The sequence below is a fragment of the Homo sapiens genome, chromosome 5 (genome assembly GCF_000001405.40).
Source record: "Homo sapiens chromosome 5, GRCh38.p14 Primary Assembly".
Taxonomy (NCBI): Eukaryota; Metazoa; Chordata; class Mammalia; order Primates; family Hominidae; genus Homo; species Homo sapiens.
The window spans coordinates 124,925,455-124,948,561 of NC_000005.10; the positions used below are offsets into that span (position 1 = coordinate 124,925,455).

General features: G+C 41.6%; 1 annotated feature.

Annotated features, from left to right (window-relative positions):
• Positions 10,456-10,855: an enhancer, noted in NCBI's record as "active region_23021". NCBI's record gives its function as "activates an Ori minimal core promoter by ATAC-STARR-seq in GM12878 lymphoblastoid cells {active_cell/tissue: GM12878}" and the evidence as "EXISTENCE:reporter gene assay evidence [ECO:0000049][PMID:35858748]".

Consider the following 23,107-nt stretch of genomic DNA (forward strand, 5'->3'; position numbering starts at 1 on the left):
GAGAGGTACAGACCTCGTATTTACATTTTTGGTCGTTAGCATATACATGGTATTTAAGGTCACATGCCTAGGTAAGCCCACTAGGGAATGAAGCTAAAAGAAGTCCAAGGACTTATCCTTGGGACATTCTCACATTAAAAGATTGGATAAGAAACTTGCAAAAGGAACTGAAAAGAAGTGAGGTCAGAAGCTACTGGAAGAAAGAGAGTTACAAAAGTAGGCTAACAAATGCATGTCAAGTTTACATGACCCACAGTGATATTCTCAGGTTAGAGAAAGAGTTATGAAGACAATGGTGATCCTGCAGCAAAGTAGAAGAGAGCACTTAAATTATAGAATGATGAAACATTAGAAGCATTTCCTTTAGAATTTAGAGTAATTTAGAAGTGTCTAGAATAAAGGAAAATATGTATTAAATAGCAGTGCTATATACTAGTAATAATCACTTTTTTAGTAGTATGAAACTTGGTGTCAACAGAAACTTTATATACCAATGAATAGCTTTAACAAAAAACGTGATAGACATGTATGAATACTTACAGTATATTCTGAGAGGTGTAAAAATGTAAAAGATTTCATGCAGATACATAATTGTTGATGTACAGGTGGACTGAGTATTGCAAAAGTGTTAATTTTTTTCTTGAATATATGAGTTTATCGTAGTTCAAAACAGAGTTCTGATGGGCAAATTTTTGGTACAGTAATGATCATAGCAGCACTATTTTTAATAGCCAACAACTAGAAACAATCAAATGTCCATAAATGAGTAAATAAACTGTATATTCATTCAATGAAATAATATACAGCAAGAGGATGATTGAACTACAACTACAGCATCAACATAGGTGAATCTCGCAAACATAATAATGAACAAAGAAGGCAGACACTAAAGAGTATATACTTTGTGATTCCACTCGTATAAAGTTCCAAAACAGATCCAAATGATCTATGATGCCTGGAAGGGATGCAAGGGAGACTTTTGTTCTGGTAATGCTTCTTTTCTTTTTTCTTTTGAGAGGGAATCTGGCTCTGTTGCCCAGGCTGGAGTGCGGTAGTGCAATCTCGGCTCACTGCAACCTCTGCCTCCCGGGCTCAAGTGGTTCTCCTGCCTCAGCCTCCCAAGTAGCTAGGATTACAGGTGCCCATCACCACACCCAGCAAATTTTTGTATTTTTAGTAGAGATGGGGTTTCACTTTCACCAGTTGGCCAGGCTGGTCTTGAACTCCTGACCTCAGGTGATCTGCCTGCCTTGGGCTTATTTCTTGATTTGAGTGCTAATTGCATGTATTCATTTTCCAAAAATTCTTAGAAATTACATGTATGGGCCAGGCGCGGTGGCTCACGCCTGTAATCCCAGCACTTTGGGAGGCTGAGGTGGGCAGATCACGAGGTCAGGAGATTGAGACCTTCCTGGCTAACACAGTGAAACCCCGTCTCTACAAAAACTACAAAAAATTAGCTGGGCGTGGTGGCATGCGCCTGTAATCCCAGCTACTCGGGAGGCTGAGGCAGGAGAATCGCCTGAACCTGGGTAGCGGAGGTTGCAGTGAGCCAAGATCGCACCGCTGCACTTCAGTCTGGGCGACAGGGTGAGACTCTGTCTCAAACAAACAAACAAACAAACAAAAAAGAAATTACATGTATGATTTGTGCCCTTTTCTATATGAATGTTTGATAAAAATTTAATTTAAAAATATCAATTGTTTTTTAAAAATGTGGACATACTAATTTAACCTTTCATCTGCAAACTAGACAGTAACAAATTAGCTTAGAGACTATTCAAAAAGAAAAGTAATGAAAACTGGCTGTATCATATATAAAATGTATAAGAAAGCAGGAATGAGTGAAATGCTCTGGCAATAGCAGGGGATCATTGGATAGAATACAATGTATGATAGAGATGAAAGGATAACTCAGTGGGGGGAAAGGAATGAATGATCAATAAGTGATGTTGTATTTTCAAATCCTCCATGCAGCTGGGTACACCCATGTGACCACATTTTGGCTAATGAGATGTCAACAAAATTGATAAATGCCACTTCCAAGTCTTGCTCCTTAATGAATTAGGGTTGTGTACCTTCCAGCCTCACTCTGCTGTCCTTTTAGTTTGGAGAAAATGAGATTTAGAACAATTGCCCGAGACCCAGAGACGGGAGCCACTTGTCAAGGATGGCAGAACCACCTTGTCAGGCCCACACCATTAACTGTGAGAGAGTTGATCTTTTAGCTTAAACAAGCCCTCACTCAAGGAGAGAGGATTACATAGAGGCATGAAGGTCTGGAGGTAGAGATATTAGAGGTTGCCTACCACAGGAAAAAAATCAATTTAGATCCTCACTTAACACTATCTCACTTAACACTGTACCAGAATAATTTGCAGATGAGTAACACATTAAAATGTAAAAACTCAAGTAATTCCTAAAAATAGATGAAAGTATATGTGTGTGGGTATTTTTTTTTATCAGATTGGAATGTTCTAAGCTTAAAACAATGGAAGCTCTCGCTCACAGGCTGGGTTCTCCAGGGAGCAGACACTGCAGTTGTCCTAGTATGTGAGGCTTATTGGTGAGTCATGCCTGTGAAGGGAGAAAGGGAGGAAGCAGGAATGGGCAGGGAAAGGTGAATCTGAAAAAAGTCGAGTAGTCCAATGAGGAGCTCTAGAACAAAGATTTCCCGTTAGAGGAGTCCCAGGTTGGGCGACATAGCTGAGCCTTGAACCAGTTTCTTGCTCCGTGAGTGGCTAAGGGCTGCCCTGAGTATTAGAGCAGCCTCTTTTTGAAAGCTGAGGAGAACCCTGAGGAACTAATAGCTAGAGGTTGTCTGCTGTCCACACCCTTTACCTGGGCTGCAGGCCTATTTTTGAGAGTGGATCTGAGCAGAGTGTTTCCGTCCCTGCCACAGTCTACCCCTTGCAATCTATGAATCCACTTTTCTGTACACACATAGGGAGTAGCTCCTGTGGGGCTCTTATAGGCTCCCTCCCCGAGGAGAAACTGAGAAGTGAGAAGTCAGTGGGAAGAACTGCACCCCCATCGCTGCAGTTGCTCTTCAGGACGCAACCGGCGCTCATCCTCTCTCTCCTCCATCATCCATTCTAAAACCCCTGCCACTCAATTACCACCTCTGCTGGTCTTGGTGGCTTATCTGAGGTGGGACTCTAACCCTCATCTGAAGGTTCGGAGCCCTGATAACCGAAATCTTCAGGCTGGGCTTCAGTGATCAAGTGATCCTCCTGCCTCAGCCTTTCAAAACACTGGAATTACAGCACCTGCCTATTCAGACAAGAAAGTATCTTAAGAGACACCTCAGTGGGTCACCTGCGTTCCATACATGGAGTGACAGCGGTTGGACCTCCTCCAGATGATGGCAGATGACTAGTAGCTGACTTTCTTTTTGCCTGTTGTTTCCTGGACAAAAGGAGCCCTAAGTGACTTGGTGGCAGTCATAGCTATTAGCTCAATGGGATCTGGATTCTCCTGTTAAGAGTGCTTCATTTGGGATCAGGTCCTCTAACTCTGGAGCTCAGAGTTATGGGGAACAGGAAGTAAAGATTTTTACAGATGGTCACTGGTGGTAATGGTAAGCAGAGCTATTCCTGCTTCCGCCTCTTGGTTTCCCCAAGTATTCGTCTCACTGCGGACACAGAATTATATACATGTCTCTGATTCAATGCACATACCCTGAAGGATGGCATTTCATCCTCACAGAGTGCTGCCTCGGATCTGGCACTTCAGCAGGCCACTCCAATGCTCTGTCAGGTTGGCAGCCTCTGGGTGGTGATTCAGCCTGTGGATGCTGTGGGCATGGGCTCACGCCTTCACCTCTTCTGTTTTAAAATGGGTTCCCTGGTTAGATGTTCTTTGTGTGGGATTTACTGTGTATTAACCATTCCATAACCCTTGAATAGCAGTGCTGGCTGAGGCTGTGTGGTAGGAAAAGGCAAACCCATATTCAGAATAGGTTTCTGTTCTTGTGAGAACACACTGTTAGTTGGCCCCTCTGGGATGGAATGGGTCCACTGTAGTCAGCTTGCCACCAGATCACCCATTCGTCCGTTCAAGAAATAATGCCATGTTTTAGGTTCAGCACTGGTTTCTGTTGTTGGCGGATTGAACATTCAGAGGTGGCAGTAGCTACAGAGGCCTTGGTGAATAGGAGTCCATGCTGATGGGAATATGCAGGGCCTCCCTCTCTGCCACCACTTCATTTATGTGCCCATTGTTTTATCACTGGGGTGCCTGCATGAAAGATGGCTATCATCAACTGGCTGCATCATTTTTCTTCCTTTCTTTTAGAGACAGGGTCTCACTGTTGCCCAGGCTGCAGTGAAATGATGTAATTATGGCTCACTGCAGCCTCCAACTCCCAGACTCAGGTAATCTCCCTCCTCAGCCTCCTGAGTAGTTGGGACTACAGGTGCTCACCACCATGCCCAGCAAATTTGTTAATTTTTTTTTTTTTTATTTGAGATGAAGTCTCGCTCTTGTCCCCCAGGCTGGAGTGCGATGGCACGATCTCGGCTCACTGCAATCTCTGCCTCCTGGGTTCAAGTGATTCTCCTGCCTCGCCCCACCACCACCCCCCAGCCACCGCCCCAATAGCTGGGATTACAGGTGCCTGTCACCACACCCCGCTAATTTTTGTTTTTTTAGTAGAGACAGGGTTTCACCATGTTGGCCAGGCTGGTCTAGAACTCCTGACCTCAGGTGATCCGCCCGCCTTAGCCTCCCAAAGTGCTGGGATTACAGGCGTGAGCCACCACGCCCGGCCTGTTAATTTTTTTATAGAAACGGGCTTTTTTTGCTGTGTTTCCCAGGCTGGTCTTGAACTCTTAGCCTCAAGAGAGCCTCCTGCCTCAGCTTCCCAAAGAGCTGGAATTACAAGCATGAGCCACCATTCCTGGCTCATGTTTTTTCATGGTTGTTTAGTGCCTCTTCTATAGTGGGTGCTTTCTGGTGGGCACTGATCTTGACACTCTGTATTCACATTGTGTGCATCTGCAGACTCCTAGCCTAAATCTCCTTGTCCATGATCTTTCCATCTTTTTTCTTTAGCTCTCTGACCAGCCAGCCATCCTATTCCTTCTTGTTTAATTTTTCCACCTTAAGCTCCTCATGTGGGACCACCATATGGCCATAGGTGTGAACTGACAGAGGGGTGCTGGTACATTGGTCGAGGGTGATGGGAATCTGGCTACTCATCCATACAGTTTGCTCATGCCCTCATGACTTGCTCTTGCTTGGTACTGGATGTATCATATCCATCTTATGATGGAATACTGGCATTTATGATAGTAGTCCATCATAAGATAGATATGATACATCCAGGACTTACTTATGACTTGGTGGGTCCAAGAAGGTCCCAGCTCATTTTCTGATACACAGTCACTTAGTGTTTTATGGTCAAGCATTTTTGTCTCTACCAGGACCCAGTAGCATGCTAGGAAGTGTTTTTCAACAAGTTTTTTTTTTGTTTTTTTTTTTTTGTTTTTTTTAGCAACAGATAACATGGGCTTGCTCTAGAACCCCAGGGACCTGAATTGTGATTCTACTGTTGAGGTTTGCTATAAACTCTGCACTACATCATCTTCCATCATTGACACTGACATTACCTAAGGTCTGCCAGGTTGTAAGGCCCAAGTGACAGGGATACTGCATCACATCCTGGAACTGCTGTGTAGTCTTCTCTGGCTTTGGGTCCCACTTAAAGCTAGAAGTCTTCTATGCTACTTGGTATATAGGTCAGAACAGTATTTCTAGGTGATGTTGAAACCAATGATCAGTAAGACATCATCATGTAATGGATCAATCTGATGTTTTGTGGGATGTCCAAACAGTTCATATCTTTTCAGGCTCTATTATGAGAGAGGGCAGAGGAGACAGTATAGTTCTAGGCAATAATGTAATTGTATAATGTTGTCCTTTCCAAGAAAATGTAAACTGTTTTTAATCCTTTCTCTTCATTGGGATAGAAAGTAATGAATTCTTGGCTGGGTGTGGTGGCTTATGCCTGTAATCCCAGCACTTTGGGAGGCCAAGGCAGTTGGATCCCCTGAGGTTGGGAGTTCGAGACCAACCTGGCCAACAGGGTGAAACCCCATCTCTATGAAAACAAAACAAAACAAAACAAAAAACTTAGCTAGGGGTGGTGGTTCACGTCTGTAATCCCAGCCATTTGGGAGGCTGAGGCACGAGAATCACTTGAACCCCAGGGAGTGGATGTTGCAGTGAGCCAAGATTGTGCCACTGCACTCGAGTCTGGGTGACAGAGTGAAACTCCATCTCAAAAAAAAAAAAAAAAAAGAAAGTAATGCATTGTCTATATCAGCGGCCATATACCACACAAGAGGCTATATTAATATCCTTTAACAATGATACCACACATGGTACAGCAGTTGTGACTGGGCAACAGCTTGGTTGATCTTACTGAAGTCTCAGTCATTCTCCAAAACCAATTTACTTTCTGCAGGAACTGGACTGGTGAATTAAATAGAGATATGCTAGGTACCACCATCCCTGGACCCTTTAGTCCTTTAAAAATGACACTAAGGGCTGGGCGCAGTGGCTCACACCTGTAATCCCGGCAGTTTGGGAGGCCGAGGTGGGCAGATCACCTGAGGTCAGAAGTTCAAGACCAGCCTGGTCAACATGGTGAAACCCCGTCTCTATTAAAAATACAAAAATTAGTGGGCACCTGTAATTCCAGCTACTCGGGAAGCTGAGGCAGGAGAATCTCTTGAGCCCGCGAGGCAGGTGTTACAGTGAGCCGAGATTGTGCCATTGCACTCCAGCCTGGGCAAAAAGAGTGAAACTGCATTGCAAAAAACAAAAAACAAAACAAAACAAAAGCACTAGTCTTTGGTGCTCCTCATTTTCTTACCTGGGATGCAGTAATGTTTTTGATTTGCTATGCTGACTGGAGAGTGGTGGTGGATTATTTCATAGCCTCCAATTTGGCTTTCCACACTCTGATAACTATTACTCCTATAAGCCAATGTCTCAATATAGATGGTTTTCTAATTTTCAAGTGTGTTAAATCTAATTATACATTCAGGGACTAGGGAACTGACCACCAGGAGGGTTTGTGAACCTAGAGGACATATTATTATTACTCTAGGCCTTGAAATTTCTTCATTCTTGTTTCTTTTTTTTAAATAGGGTCTCTGTCACCCAGGCTGGAATGCAGTGGTGTGATCACTGCTTACTGCAGCCTCGACCTTTCCAGCTCAAGTGATCCTCCCACCTCAGCCTCCCAAGTAGCTGGGACTACAGGCACGTGCCACCATGCCTAGCTGATGTTTTTTTTTTTTTTTTTAAAGAAATGTGTTGCCCAGGCTGGTCTCAAACTTTTAGGCTCAAGCAATCTTCCCACTTCCGTTTCCCGAAGTGCTAGGTTTACAGGCATGAGTCACTGTGCCTGGCCTCATTATTTCTTGATTCCTATGTGACCCCACTCTAAGAAGAGAGGCCATGATGACATTCCATGTCCCCGAGTTTCAGTGACCACTTGGACTCTTTATCTAATACCCCTTAAAGGGTCTGGTCATTCTTACCATATTATGTATTCACTTGAATAAATGGCCATAAATGCCTTTAGAGAAGAACTTGGAGTGTCAGTGCTCTGTATATTTGTCTCAGTGTTGGCAGGGTTTTCCCCCTGGGAACCCAGCCACTTCTTTGGTTAATAGATTCCAGGTCTGGAATTGCTCAGGTTCAGGAACTGGGCAAATGATCATGACATTTTTATTGGAGCAATTGCATTCAAGCTCCAGTGCTGGGTAAAAAAATATTAAAAATGCCCGTTAGAGGGGTCCTGTGTTTGGTGAAGATGGGTAGGCCCTTAAACAACTGCCTGGCTCAGTCATTGGTTGAGGACCACCCCCAAAATAATGTGCCCTCAGCTCAAAAGCTGAGGCAAAACCTGAAGGAACTGATAACTAGAGGCCATCAGCTAAACACACTCCTACTCACTGGACAGGAGTTCTTTCTGGAAAGGCAATCTGAGCAGGTCACCTCAATGTCTGTCACACAATCATGAACAAAAATATCCCAAAAAATTTTTTTCCACAAAAAGTAAAATTCTCAAAACTCAACAATTTGAAACAAAAGCTATTAAAAATAATATGAAGGGTTAACTTCCTAACTAACTTCATAAAGGATTAACACCCTTACATCATAGCATCACTCTTTAGGAAAAATCTATAGTACATGAACTTTATATGATATATTTAACAAATAGTTAAAGCTAAACACTTAAGATTCCAATAAATACTTAGAACAAGTACTAAGACAGAATAAATAGGAATAACCAATGGACATGAAAAAATACAGTCTTACAAGTAGTTGAATGCACATTAAAACAAATACATTTGAAGGACCTATCAAACTTCTAAATTTTTTTTTTTTTTTTATTAGATGGCGTCTCGCTCTGTCGCCCAGGCTGGAGTGCAGTGGCACGATCTCAGCTCACTGCAAGCTCCACCTCCTGGGTTCAGGCCATTCTCCTGCCTCAGCCTCCCGAGTAGCTGGGACTACAGGTGCCTGCCACCACACCCGGCTAATTTTTTGTATTTTTAGTAGAGATGGGGTTTCACCGTGTTAGCCAGGATGGTCTCGATCTCCTTACCTTGTGACCGCCTGCCTCGGCCTCCCAAAGTGCTGGGATTACAGATGTGAGTCACTGCGCCTGGCCCAAACTTCTAAATTTTTAAAGTTAACAATTTAATTTTGACTGGTGAGTGTTAAGTTAGAGGCGTCTCACACATGCTTAGCAGGAAGGTAAATTTATATTTCTATAAATAAATTTGGCACCAGGCTTCAGGAGGTGCACAAATTTATTTTCTTTCTTTTTTTTTCTTTTTGAGATGGAGTCTTGCTTTGTTGCCCAGGCTGGAGTGCAGTGGCGCTATCTTGGCTCACTGCACCCTCCACCTCCTGGGTTCAAGTGATTCTCCTGCGTCAGCCTCCCAAGTAGCGGGGATTACAGGCACGTGCCACCATGCCCGGCTAATTTTTGTATTTTTAGTAGAGACAGGGTTTCACCATCTTGGCCATGCTGGTCTCAAACTTCTGGCCTCAATTGATCCGCCCACCTTGGCCTCCCAGCATGCTGGGATTACAGTCGTTGAGCCACTGTGCTCAGCACAAACAAATCTTTTACTCAGTAACTCTACTTTGAGAGTCTATCCTAAGGAAATAATCAGAAATGTGGACAAAGATATATGTGTAAAGATATTTATCCTAGCACTATTTGTTATATTAAAACCCACAAGCAGCCTTAATGCCCCAAATTAGGAAAACAGTTATATAAATTACATTGAATGTATGTGATAGCGTAGCGTATAGCCATTAAATGAAAATGTGTGATAAGCCTTTCATGCCAAGAGGTTACGCTTAGGAAATGTTCAATGAAAGTGAAAATAATCATACATCGAGTAGTACCTCAAATATGTAAAAATCCATAGAAATATGTGTAGAAGAAAATATGACAGAAACATAAATATTGATTTGATGATCCTTGGTTGGGTGATTTATGTTCTTCTTTTAACTTTTGAATTTTACAAAGCAAACATTCTCGGAGTCATCTCAAGTAACATTGCTGAAAGGTTTTGTTGACTTCAGGGAAGGTGCTGGGTTATGGGCTTCTCTCTGTGTGCTCACTGCATTTTCTCAGTGCCTGCCTATCTCATCACATTTATTGCATCGTGCTCGACTTTCTCTGTGTATGTATCTGCAATGCCATTCTGACACTAACTACCTGGAATTAGGTCAAATTGCGGAAGTTGAGGGTGTAGTCCACCACGAGACTTCTCTCACTTCAGACACCAGCCACAGGCTCTGGGCTTTCCAGCCACCTGCACTTCTAACCAACTGGTGACAAATTTAGGCATTTCCACTACTTCCTCAGGCTCTATACTTTCCTAGAATAACTCACAGAATTCCAGAAAGTGTTACACTTAGGATTACAATTTTATTATAAAGGACATGAGTTGCCAGGCACAGTTGCTCATACCTGTAATCCCATCACTTTGGGAGGCTGAGGCGGGTGGATCACTTGAGGCCAGGAGTTTGAGACCAGCCTGGGCAACATGGTGAAACCTCATTGCTACTAAAAATACAAAAATTAGCCAGGTGTGATGGCACACACCTGTAATCCCAGCTACTAGGGAGGCTGAAACAAGAATCTCTTGAACCCAGGAAGCAGAGGTTGCAGGGAGCTGAGATGCGCCATTGCACACCAGCCTGGGTGACAGAGTGAGACTCCATATCAAAAAAAAAAAAATATATATATATATATATATATAAAGTCAAGACTAGCCAAATGAGAAGAACATATGTTGAGATCTTAGAGGGTCCCCAACACAGAGCTTCCATGTCTTCAGGATGTATCACCCTCCTGGCACATCAATATGTGTCACTCACCTGGAAGCTCACTTAAGCTTTGGGTGTCCAGAGCTCTTACTGGGGTTTCATTCTATAGGCTTGATTGGCTGAATCACTGGCCACATGATTGAACTCAATCCCTAGACCCCCCCTTCCCTCCCCAGAGGCTGGGAAGTCACGTTGATAACATATGGCTTGAAGCCCCAACCCTCTAACCACATAATTTTTCTCTCCAGCATGGAAAGCCCCCATGCTGAAAATACCTAGAACTATGAGTCACATCATTAGCATAAACTCCAGTGTGGTCAGAGAGGTCTACCATGAATAATAAAGACGCTTCTATCACTTGGGAAATTCCAAGAGTTTAGAGGCTCTGTCACAGGAACCAGGGGCACAAGCCAGCCAAATCCTCCATTATACAACAGTGTATGTTTCATCCATTGGCTGTGCCCCCAAAATGGAGAAACCATGCCTGGTACCCCAGCAGATCTTTTCTTTCAGTTAATTTGGCAACATAAAAAACTTTGCCTAGGCCAGGCACAGTAGTTCACGCCTGTAATCTCAGCACTTTGGGAGGCCGAGGTGGGCAGATCACGAAGTCAGGAGATCGAGACTATCCTGGCTAACAAGGTGAAACCCTGTCTCTACTAAAAATACAAAAAATTAGCCCAGCGTGGTGGCGGGTGCCTGTAGTCCCAGCTACTCGGGAGGCTGAGGTAGGAGAATCGCTTGAACCTGGGAGGCAGAGCTTGCAGTTAGCCGAGATCGCGCCGCTGCACTCCAGCCTGGGCGACAGAGAGAAACTCCATCTCAAAAAATAAAAATAAAAATAAACAATAATTTGCCTAAAGTCTATTAGTGTGACTTTCACTCTGAGTCCTAATGTGGCACTTTTCAGCTTCAGTGGCCTTAGAAGGTCACGTTGTAGGACTTAGCAATGCACCAACATTCTGGTCCTTTTAAAATGTAATCCATCACTGAGAAGAACAATAAAACAACAGCAAAAACCACAAAAACGTTTTTGCGTTTATCATCTTTCTTTTCCCTTGATTATATCTATCAAAACCATTAGCTAATTTTGAATTAATAAGGAAATTAATAGAAAAAAATATTAGCTTAGTGCAAGGAAAGGCCACAAAGAGAAATGCACGGATGGCAGTGGCATGGCTGTGTTTATGAATGTCTAATTCTGTCAATATTTTGTTGTCAATCTCAGGATGGCCCAAGAATTAGTTTTTATAACATCAATATAGTATTTGGTGAATCTGACAAATTAGTTGATTATATTTATGCTTACTCTTTTATTCCAAAAGCTAATTGCGTCTAGTAGGTGATATGATTAACGTTTAGGATCGCCTATTTAACCTAGTCCTTCAAGTCTTTGTTAATTTGTATTTCATAATTTATTAGATTAAAACCAGGATGGCTGCCTAGAGATATTATTTTTCAACTTCATAGGACTATGTATTAAAATTTTAGCCACTCAAAATTGAGTCAACTTTTTTTGAGACAAAATATTTTATAGACAGGCATACCTCATTTGATTGGGCTTTGCTTTATTTTGCTCCACAGATACTGTGTTTTTTTGACAAATTAAAGGTTTGTGGCAACCCTGTGTTGAACAAGTCTATGAGCGCCATTTTTCTAACACCATATGCTCACTTTGTTAGCATTTTTAGCAATAAACCATTTTAAAATTAAAATATGTACATTGTTTTTTAGACATAATGCTATGGCACACTTAATAGACTGCAGTATAGTGTAAACAACCTTAATACGCACTGGCACCCAAAAAATTCATGTGGTTGGATTTATTTTGAATTAATTAATTTATTGAGACAGGGTCTCAGTGTGTCACTCAGGGTGGAGTGCAGTGATGCGATCACAGCTTACTGCAGCCTCAACCTCCCAGGGCTCAGGTAATTCTCCCACCTCATCCTCCCGAGTAGCTAGCCTACAGATGTGTGCCACCAGCTTGGCTAATTTTTCTATTTAATAGAGACAGGGTTTTGCCATGTTGCCCAGGCTGGTCTCGAACTCCTGGGTTCATAAGATCCGCACGTCTCAGCACCACAAAGTGCTGGGATTGCAGGTGTGAGCCACCATGCCCTGCCAACTTGATGTATTTTGATGCTTATTTTATTGTAGTGGTCTGGAACTGAACCTGCAATATCTCTGAGGTATGCCTGTGTATGTGTGTATGTATATATATATATATGGTCAAGTGCTGCATAACAACATTTTGGTCAAAGACAGACTGCATATATGATGGTGGTCCCATAAAATTCTAATACTGTATTTCTACTGTATGTTTTTTCTATGTTTAGATATGTAAGACACCATTGTGTTGCAAATGCCTGTAGTACTCAGTACAATAAATGTTGCACAGGTTTGTAACCTAGGAGCAACTGGCTATTTGATACAGCCTAGGTGTGAAGTAGGCTACACCACCTAGTTTTGTGTAAGAACACTCTATGATAGTTGTACAGCACCATATTTGCTTATTGACACATTTCTCAGAATGTACCCCTGTTGTTAAGCAACATATATAATATATAATGATATACAGAGTGTAATATATGTGGACCAGTTTTACATGTTTGATCCAAGGACAACATCCGAAGTTCTCAAGCATCACTGATTCACTAGATCTCACTGCCAGGCATATGGAGATGCCTTTCTGATGAGAGCTGTCTCTGTGGGCTTGTTGCTACACTGTCTCTAGGTGTTGGAGACAGATCTGATATGGAGACTGGTCTGAATCCGTACCTTTTCTCCTCCTTTCTGAGCAGGCTTGACCCTAGGCTTGTGGGAGAAGACAGGGTTTTCAACAAGCAGGATGAATAGAATGCCTTCTGTGTGCGTTGTATTTGCGTGGTCTCCTATCTTTCCTGAGGGTGAGGGTCTCCTGTGACTAGAGTCACAGTAATTCCTAGGTACCATTGAATGCCTAATACATATTTAAATTTTCCTTATAAAATCAAAGGTTGGCCGGGCGTGGTGGCTCACACCTGTAATCCCAGCAGTTTGGGAGGTTGAGGCGGGTGGATCACGAGGTCAGGAGTTCGAGACCAGCCTGGCCAACATGGCAAAACCCCATCTCTACTAAAAATACAAAAATTAGCCAGGCACTGTGGCGGGCACCTGTAATCCCAGATACTCGGGAGGCTGAGGCAAAAGAATCGCTTGAACCCAGGAAGTGGAGGTTGCAGTGAGACAAGATCATGCCACTGCACTCCAGCCTGGGTGACAGAGCAAGACTCCGCCTCAAAAAAAAAAAAAAGGCTGTTTTGTATATAACAGGATGTATATACGTTTGTATATAACAGGATGATGCAGTTGAGAAGAAAAAGCTGATGATTCAGAACTGAGCAGAGACATTTACCAGAGTGATGTCCTTGAGCAGGGCCTTACACCATGCTCAGTATAAAGATAATGTCCCAGGGAGACGTCACGTGCTCTTTTGTATGAAAGGTGCCTCGTGAGTAATGCATCATGGGGGCCTGTCTGCACAGGCCGAAGGGGTTAGATTGAAGGAATTAGCTGCCCACCAAAGTGCTATGAAGACTATTTTAAACTGAAAACATCTGAACAGGCAGCAGCCACAGAAAGAAACATTATTTACACTTGAGTAGAACCCTCCCAAAATACAGCTGCTGTTGACCCCCATCTGAGGGAGTTTACCATTTGAAGAAAGGTTAACCCTTAGCACTGGGAACTATGAATTCAGCTGCCATAACACCCATCGCCTCCGTGGGAAAATTTCCAGCCAGGAAAGAGATAGACTGCCTATTCCCATTAACAACAAAAAGCCCAATAGAACCCTTTATACCTTCGCAGTGAAACCCTCCCCTCCTTTTGTGAAATCGTTATATAAACCTCTTGTCTCTGGCTATTCAGTGAGTTACTCGTGACTGAGCAACTCTTGCATGCACGTGAAAATAAACTTTTATCTTTTCTTCAATTAATCTGCCTATGGCTGGATAATTTGCAGGTCCTGGGACTATTCAGACCTAAGTTGACAGAGGAGAAGTTTTTCCTCACAACAAGATCCTGGGTACAAGTGGAGAGTTGGTCTTAGTAGGAGCAGAGACACTTCATCCATACTAACAGGATGGAAGGCGGAGGCATTTGCATATATTCAACATCTCTCTCATTCTCAAACCTCCTGGAAGTGTTGTCTACTCTTAATGATTCATGTCCTCACTTTCCTTCACTCTTCTACCTATTCCAATTTGGCTTCCAGGCTCAACACACATTCAATCATTCACCCATTCATCTAAAAATTCTTTAATCCTACTATATGGTCTAGGCCCTGGGGAGTATATCATTAAACAAAATCCAAAAATAGCTGTCTTTATGGAGCTGACTATCTAGTAGGGAAAACATATCTAAAGCAAATAAATAACACCATGCATTCACTGGTGATAAGTGTAATGGACAAAAACCAAACACACACAAAGCAGGCAGGAAAGTGAGGTTCTTAGTTCACTCATGCTGCTGTAACAACAAAATACCTTAGACTGGGTAACTGACAAACAACCGAAATTTATTGCTCACAGTTCTGGGCAGAGTCAGTGTCTGGTGAGGCCCTGTTCCTCATAAATGGTGCCTTCTATGTCCCCTCACATGGTGGAAGGGGCAAACAGGCTCCCTTAAGTCTCTTTCATAAGGGCACTAATCCCATTCAGGAGGGTGGAGCCCTCATGAGTTAATGACTCCCCAAAGGCCCCACCCCGTAATACCATTGCATTGGGGTTAGGTTCAACATAAGAATTTTGGAGTGACACAAACATTCAGACAATAGCAGGGAGCTGGAGAGTGTTGATGGCCTCACTAAGAAGGAGATAATTTGAACAAAGATGTGAGGAGGTAGGGAAAAAACCCTATGGATCTAGCTGAAAGTCTCTTCCAGAAAGGAGCAGATAAGCAAGAGAGTGTACCTGATAGAGTCAAGGAAAAGCAAGGAGGCCACTGTGGACTGAGCAAGTGCGAAAGGCAGAGCAGCAGGTAAAACCAGCAAGGTCATATGTGGCTAGATTGTGTGGGAGCATGTAGTAATTGCCACATATTTTGACTTTACTCTGAGTGAGATGAGGACGCACCGGAGGAATTTGAACAGACAAATGATGTGTTGAAAATGGATTGGGAGAGCAAGGGTGGAAGTAGGGGAAGCAGGACCAATGCTGATCCTATCAAAAGATAATGGGCGATGCTTTGGAAAACAGTCTTGCATTCCTCAAAAGGTTAAGTATTGAGTTACCACATGAAACCAGCAATTACATTCCTAAATACATACCCAAGAGAAATGAAAACATGTCTAAACAAAACATGAATATTCATGGCATCGTTATTAAAAGCCAAAAAGTGGAAACAACACAAATAAATGTCCATCAGCTGATGAATGGATACAAAAATTGTGGTATATCCATATAATGGAATGTTATTTAGTCATAAAAATGAAGGAAGTATGGATACATGCGACAAAATGGATACACCTTGAAAACAGTATTCTACGTGAATGAGGCCATTCGGAAAAGACCACAAAGTGTATGATTCCATTTATATGGAAAGCCCAGAATAAGCAGTTCTGTAGAAAAAGAAAGTAGTTTAGTGATTGTCAGGAGCTAGTGGGAGGAGGGATGAAGAGTAAATTCTCTTTGGGGCGAAGAAAATGTTTTAAAATGAACTGTGGCAATGGTTGCACAACTCTGCGGTTTTTAGTAAAAAAAAACCATTGAGTTGCACACTTTAAATGGATGAATTATGTGATATGCCAATTATATCAATAAAGCTGTTAGTAAAAATAAAAAGAGGTAATGAGGCTTGGCACGGGAAAGTTGGAGTGGAGATGGTGAGACATAATCAGAGGTGAGAATACTTTGAAGGTAGAACTAATAGAACTTGCTGAAAACTGGGTGAGAGGCTATGAGAGAAAGCAAGGAGTCAAGAATAATGCCACATTTTTTTTTTTTGACTGAGTGACTTAAAGGGTGGAGCGCTGACATTACGTGAGGTGAGGAAGAATGCTGGAGGAACAAGTTTCGAGAACTCTTTGGAACATGTTAAGCTAGAGATGTCTAGTTGACATTCAATATGCAACTGAAGGTATGGGTTTGGTGCTCAGGAAAGAACTGGACTAGAGTTTTACATTTGGGAGTTGTCAGCATAGGAATGGTATTTAACTGGCTAAGTTATCAGTGAACTCCCTGTAGCCAAATCTTCATCTAACTTGACTTTTCAATAATATTGGACACTACTGACTACTGCCTTCATTTAAAACCGTCCCTTCTCTTACTTTCAGCAGAGAAAACTTGTTTTCCTTCTTCCTTTCTGGCCTCTCCCAATCTGTATTGTTTGTAGGCTCATTCTCTTCCATTTCATCTTCTTTGTTCCTTTTATTATTATCATTATTATTTTTTTGCTGGGACAGGGTCTTGCTGTTGCCCAGGGTGGCCTCAACCGATCCTCCCACCTTGGACTTCCAAAGTGCTGAGATTACTGATGTGAGCCACTGTGCCTAGCCACCTAATCTTCAATTCATAAGTCTTTAAGTTTTGTTCCTAAAGTTTTTTGCTCATCTTACTCTACACTCTTTCTTTCTTTAAGAGATCTTATCCACATTCCTAATTTTAATTACTCCCTTACACAAAGACTCGCAGGTGATCTTCAGGTCTTTTAGATAAACACTATTGGATAAATCAAAAGCATCTCAAATTCAACCTGTACAACATTGAACTCATGACGTCTTCTTCCTTAAACCTGCTCCTCTTCCAACATCCTTTTTGTTCAGTAAATAAGTTATTAATACTTATTTTATTTATGCAAACCACAAACCAGAACCCCTTCTTGGTATCTCTCTTTCCTAGGATATCTAACCTTCATCACCAAATTCTGAGAATTGCATCTCTTAAAATATCCTCTGTCTCTACTTCTTTCTTTTTACTGGTGAACAATGCACATCTATTTCCATTGTATAATTTCTTTACATAACAATCCATGTTCACAGTCAATATTTCTACTATTCTTAAGCTTTAGAGGCAGACTATTACAGTGTTGTGGATTAAAAAAAGGGAGGCAATGGGTTCCCTACACAAGTTGAGGATTTTCATTCCAAAATGTTCTCTACAGTTTTTCCTTTTTTTTTCTACCTCTTGTCTCTTTTAAATCCAAATTATCCTACCAGTTGTCACCATACTAATTCTCTTAACATGTAGTTCAGTTCATTTTCTAGGTCAAAAACCTTCAAGAACTGCATTTTACCTGGGAATTTAAGAACAAACTCCAAATCTTAAAACTCTAGGTTCATGATAACAAATTCCAAACCCCCTTTCCTATGTTCCAGTGTTATGAGTAAAACAGCACTAGTTGCTAATAGAAGACAAATGATGCTGCTTGAAATTGTGACTTGAAAAGCAAGTAAACCATGAATCATCCTAATGTATAAGCTTGTAATCAGAACAATAGAGAACTGATATATGAATAGTTTCCATTTACTCTGTTCTTAGCAAAACATTGACCAATTCATGGCTATGCATGTTAAATGTTGTAACATGAACATAATTCATGTTATCCGAAACAGGGAACACTTCTGTTTCCAATTTGCTTTAAAAAAAAAAAAAAAAAAACAAACACACATATTTTGAAAAAAAGAGATACCCTAAATTAGCCTAAGGCTATCAAAGTACATCATGCTTCTCCATAGAAAGCCACCATATTAACAGTAATTGTACTAAGTATGTATAGTATTGTATAGTACTTTAAGATGTACAAAATACATCTTAATATCTAACCTTCCTCACCAAATTCAAATACATTCTCACTTTAAATAAAATATTTAAAACATTCTTGTGAGTTAAATATTTTCATTACCCCACATTTATGAATGAGGAATTATCCTTGGTAAGACGAAATGATTTACTTGTGGATATGTCCAGGTAGTATATGGCAAGGAGCCAGTACACACACCCAAGTCTTCACCTTCATACTTTAAACTCTGTATGGTCGTAATTCAAATGTGAAGTATAGCACAAGTAACTGAGGCTTCTCTATTTAACAATGATGCTGAAGATGTAATAAAAAATAATAACAATAGTAAAATTATTTATGTATTTGTCCCTATTAGAATGTGAGCTTGATGAGGACAGATGTTTTGTTCACTGCTGCTCCTAAGTACCTAGAACAGTGCCTGTCACACAATGGCCTCTCAGTGAAGACTTCCTTATAAATCAAAGAATGATACATTACATTTTCAAAGACATTTCACAAACATTATTTTATTAATTGTCACAGCAATTTCCAGGTTTTCTGACTCAGACTCTAATATTCTTTTTATTACTCCATGTTGTATAAAATAAGACTTAAAGGACTACTTAAAATTGGTGCTGAGGCTAGGTGCGGTGGCTCACGCCTGTAATCCTAGCACTTTGGGAGATGGGTGGATCACCTGAGGTCAAGAGTTTGAGACCAGCCTGGCCAACATTGTGAAACCTCATCTCTACTAAAAATACAAAAATTAGCCAGGCGTAGTGGCAGGCACCTGTAATCCCAGCTACTCAGGAGGTTGAGGCAGGAGAATCACTTGAACCCAGAAGGCAGAGGTTGCAGTGGGCAAAGATTGCACCATTGCACTCCAGCCTGGGCAACAGAGCAAAAACTCCACCTCAAAAAAAAAAAAATTGGTACTGAGAGATAAAAATAAGATATATTCATTCCTTGAGACCAGGACTATAGTAGGAGCTCAGTAGACCTAATGGACACTAAGTATTAACTTGAATATGTTGGCTTCTCCATGGATAGAAGGTATTGAAAGGCATGTAGAGAAATTCACTGTTGAGAAACATACACATTTATCAAGATTATAAAAGAAGTCAAACTTCCTCTATACAATTCCGGAATATGGGAGAAGTGGGAAGTTTGCCTTCTTTTCATGAGGAAATACAGATTGAAGGTCATCCCCTATTAGAGATACCACAATCCCTTTATTTACTACTATCTTACTTTTTGTTTTTGGGGTTTTTTGCCTTTATGGAGAATCAAAAAGTATTTGAGTTTGAAAAATTAGCAAACATTTTGTTCTGGTGTAAGGGGGTAACAAGACCTGGGCTCTGTGGTCACTCTTTTGGTGGCCTATTTTGGGGAGAAGGAGATGATGAATAGGTGGGATGCATCTCCGCTTCAATTTCTTGCTGTCAAACAAATTTGAAAACTGCTTCTGGCCGAACGCGGTGGCTCACACCTGTAATCCCAGCACTTTGGGAGGCTAAGGTAGGTGGATAACGAGGTCAGGAGTTCTAGACCAGCTTGGCCAACAGAGTGAAACTCTGTCTACTAAAAATACAAAAACTAGCCGTGTGTGGGGCACACGCCTGTAGTCCCAGCTACTCGGGAGGCAGAGGCGGGAGAATCACTTGAACCCAGGAGGCGGAGGCTGCAGTGAGCCGAGACCATGCCATTGCACTCCATCCTGGGTGACCGAGTGAGACTCCATCTCAAAAAAACAAAAACCTATTTCTATTTAAAGTACAATGCGAAAACTTTACGTAATTTAGGAAGGTCTTCTTTGTTTTTTACTGTCCATTTTGAAGCCACGTTCCTTCAAAGGTACAGTAGAGTATTAGTATTCCAGAGGTTGCTTATCTTGCTATCTCAGCTAACTGGAACTCATTTAAGAAATGGGAAAGAGGGAAAAGAGGAGGACTCACAGTTGGCATAGGCCTCACAAATACCACGGTAATACCATTCTCTTCATAATTAAGTTCTGTACTCACAGATAAGTTCTCCGTTTTCGTTAGGTCCAGCTCATTCCCAGTTTACCCAGAACACTATAGCCTCATCTCTCTGGGTTCTCTGGCCATAATAGCAGTATTGGGCTGCTATGGTTTGAATCTTTGTCCCCTCCAAAACTCATTTAATTTGAAACTTATTGTAGTAACAGTATTAAGAGGTAGGACCTTCTTCTTTTTTATGTTATTATTATTTTTTTTTTAAGAAACACTGTCTTGCCGTCACTCAGGCTGGAGTGCAGTGGTGCAGTCATGGCTCACTGCAGCCTTGAACTCCTGGGCTCAAGTAACTCTCCCACCTAAGCCTCCCGAGGAGCTGGGACTACAGGTACATGCCACTATGCCTGGCTAATTTTTAAATTTTTGTGTAGAGACAGGGTCTTGCTATGTTGCCTTTGCTGGTCTAGAACTCCTGGCCTCAAGTGACCCTCCCACTTTGGCCTCCCAAAGAGCTAGGATTACAGGCATGAGGCACTATGCCCAAAGAAGGTATGACCTTTAAGAGGTGATTAGGCCATGAGGGCTCCATTCTCATGGGTGGGATTGGTGCTGGGATTGGAAGCCTCCCAGGTTCAAGCAATTCTCCTGCCTCAGCCTCCTGAGTAGCTGGGATTACAGGTGCCCACCACCATGCCCAGCTAATTTTTGTATTTTTAGTAGAGACGTGGTTTCACCATATTGGCCAGGCTGGTCTTGAACTCCTGACCTCAAGTGATCTGCCCGCCTTCAGTCACCTGTTGTATTAAAGGGCTTTGTTATTATTAATATTATTTATAACCTTAGTTCACCTAAAAATTTATTATCCCAATTTATTAGAGGAATAATGCATTCAATATGTTCATTCATGAGTGAACAGAACTAATTCGGTATATATAGGTGCACACACACACACACGGACACACACATACACCCCTGTGACACTATCCAAAACCCACAGCAACTAAGATGCCAGCCCAGAAGTAGCAACAGCGATTGAGCAACACAATTAGAAACATGTTCTTTTGAAGAAATATTCCTTGTTTTTTTTTGAGATGGAGTCTCGTTCTGTTGCTCAGGCTGGAGTGCAGTGGCGCAATCTCGGCTCACTGCAAGCTCTGCCTCCCGGGTTCATGTCATTCTCCTGCCTTAGCCTCCTGAGTAGCTGGGACTACAGGCGCCCGCCACCACACCTGGCTAATTTTTGTATTTTTTTAGTAGAGATGGGGTTTCACCTTGTTAGCCAGGATGGTCTCGATCTCCTGACTTCGTGACCTGCCTGCCTCAGCCTCCCAAAGTGCTGGGGTTACAGGTGTGAGCCACTGCGCCTGGCCATTTGAAGAAATATTTCTTTCGCTTCCATCTTACCTCTCTTTTTTAAAAAACCACCTCTTCCTTGTGAAAAATGAAATCAAAAGAGGTATCCTAGAAAAACTCAAGCCTCAGTACACTCTGTATGCAGGAACTAAGTCAGAACACATGAAAAAGGCTAGATGTGCTATGATTTAATGCAATTGGAAAAAGAATGACTTTTTTCTCCACTTTTTGATGGAGAATTCTATGAAAGAGTGTGCTGGCAAGAACAAGTTCCTCTAAGTGACATTTCATTTCTTAGCAGCTAGATAGATTAATGCTTGCTTCTTGCAGCTCATGCATTACTAGCCCTAGTACTCCTGAAATGAAAAATCATGTACTCAATTCATTCTTTATTGCATAAATGTTATACAAAGAGAATGGAAATTTGCATTTGGGTGTTCACTCCTGTTAAAATATTGCAGTCTTGATAACAGGTTGAGAAATACTATAGTGCCACTGCCCTATCATATTTAGCCTCTATAAAATAGCTTAATGGATTATATGTATAAGGTGAGGAGAAATGAAAGAGTAGAATTATGTTAAATTGCGTGGCTTCTAAATAGATTACAAAAACTTTATCCCCTTTTTAGGGCATGACTAAAGAGACCCACCTGTAAATCTACTTAATAGCCAGATCACAGGGAACTAGAGACGTCTTCAAATTATCAGCAACAGAACTCAGCCAAGGGGCCAGTGAGGTGCAAAATTCAAAAGAAAGGCAAACTCTAAAGAAATATGTAGTGAAGAATTGAGAGAGTACTGAACAGAATATTTGAAAGCAGATCTAAGAGCCACATCTGATCTCTTCTCGTCCAGACGAGAGAAAGCAATTTTCACCCAAGCAAGTCAAAGAAGCCATCTTGGATTTTCATTTGTGAAAGTGAACAATTTCTGCCTTTTTAAGTTTTCCTGACCCATGAGGTTTAGGCCTAACTTCTAGGCTTAGTACTTTGGTTAAGCTGAAGCTTTTGTTCTTCAGATATGTATTTTTTGCCTTAATTAGGACACGAGGGCTAGAGTTGGGCTGGTGTGGAAATGGGAGAGGACTGGTTTGGAGAGAAGGTGGGGAAAAGTTGTTAAGCTGCCACTGCCTTCCTACAATTGTGGAAGTTACCTGCAAGAAATCTTAAATACTTTGTAGAAACATGGTTTGAAAAGTTAAATAATGGAATTAAAATAGTTAGGGCTGGTATGCTACTCTACATGAGACAGACCATAAAATTGTATGGTTAGGAATATATTTGGAGCGTGAAATAAGTTCTGGGAGAGTGTAGGTATTTCCAACTTAATGGGTGCACACGTAGTCTTGATTTATGAGTCATTTCTTTAATATATTTGATCTGATTGTGGTTTTATCCTGCGATAAATTTTTGACTAATAATTTCACATTCCTGCCCAGCCACACGAAACTTTGGGAAACAGAACCTCTCTGTCTCCCACAATCTTCATCTGCAACCTCTTCTTTCTACAAACACTCTGGCCTCCAATGTGTCCCTCACATTGAGCTGGACACTGGAGATTCAACGACAGCTGGATTGAACACATAAAACAAGACAAAAGTTTTAATTTCTGTTGTCTTGTGGCCTCATACGCTGCTCTGGAAGCTT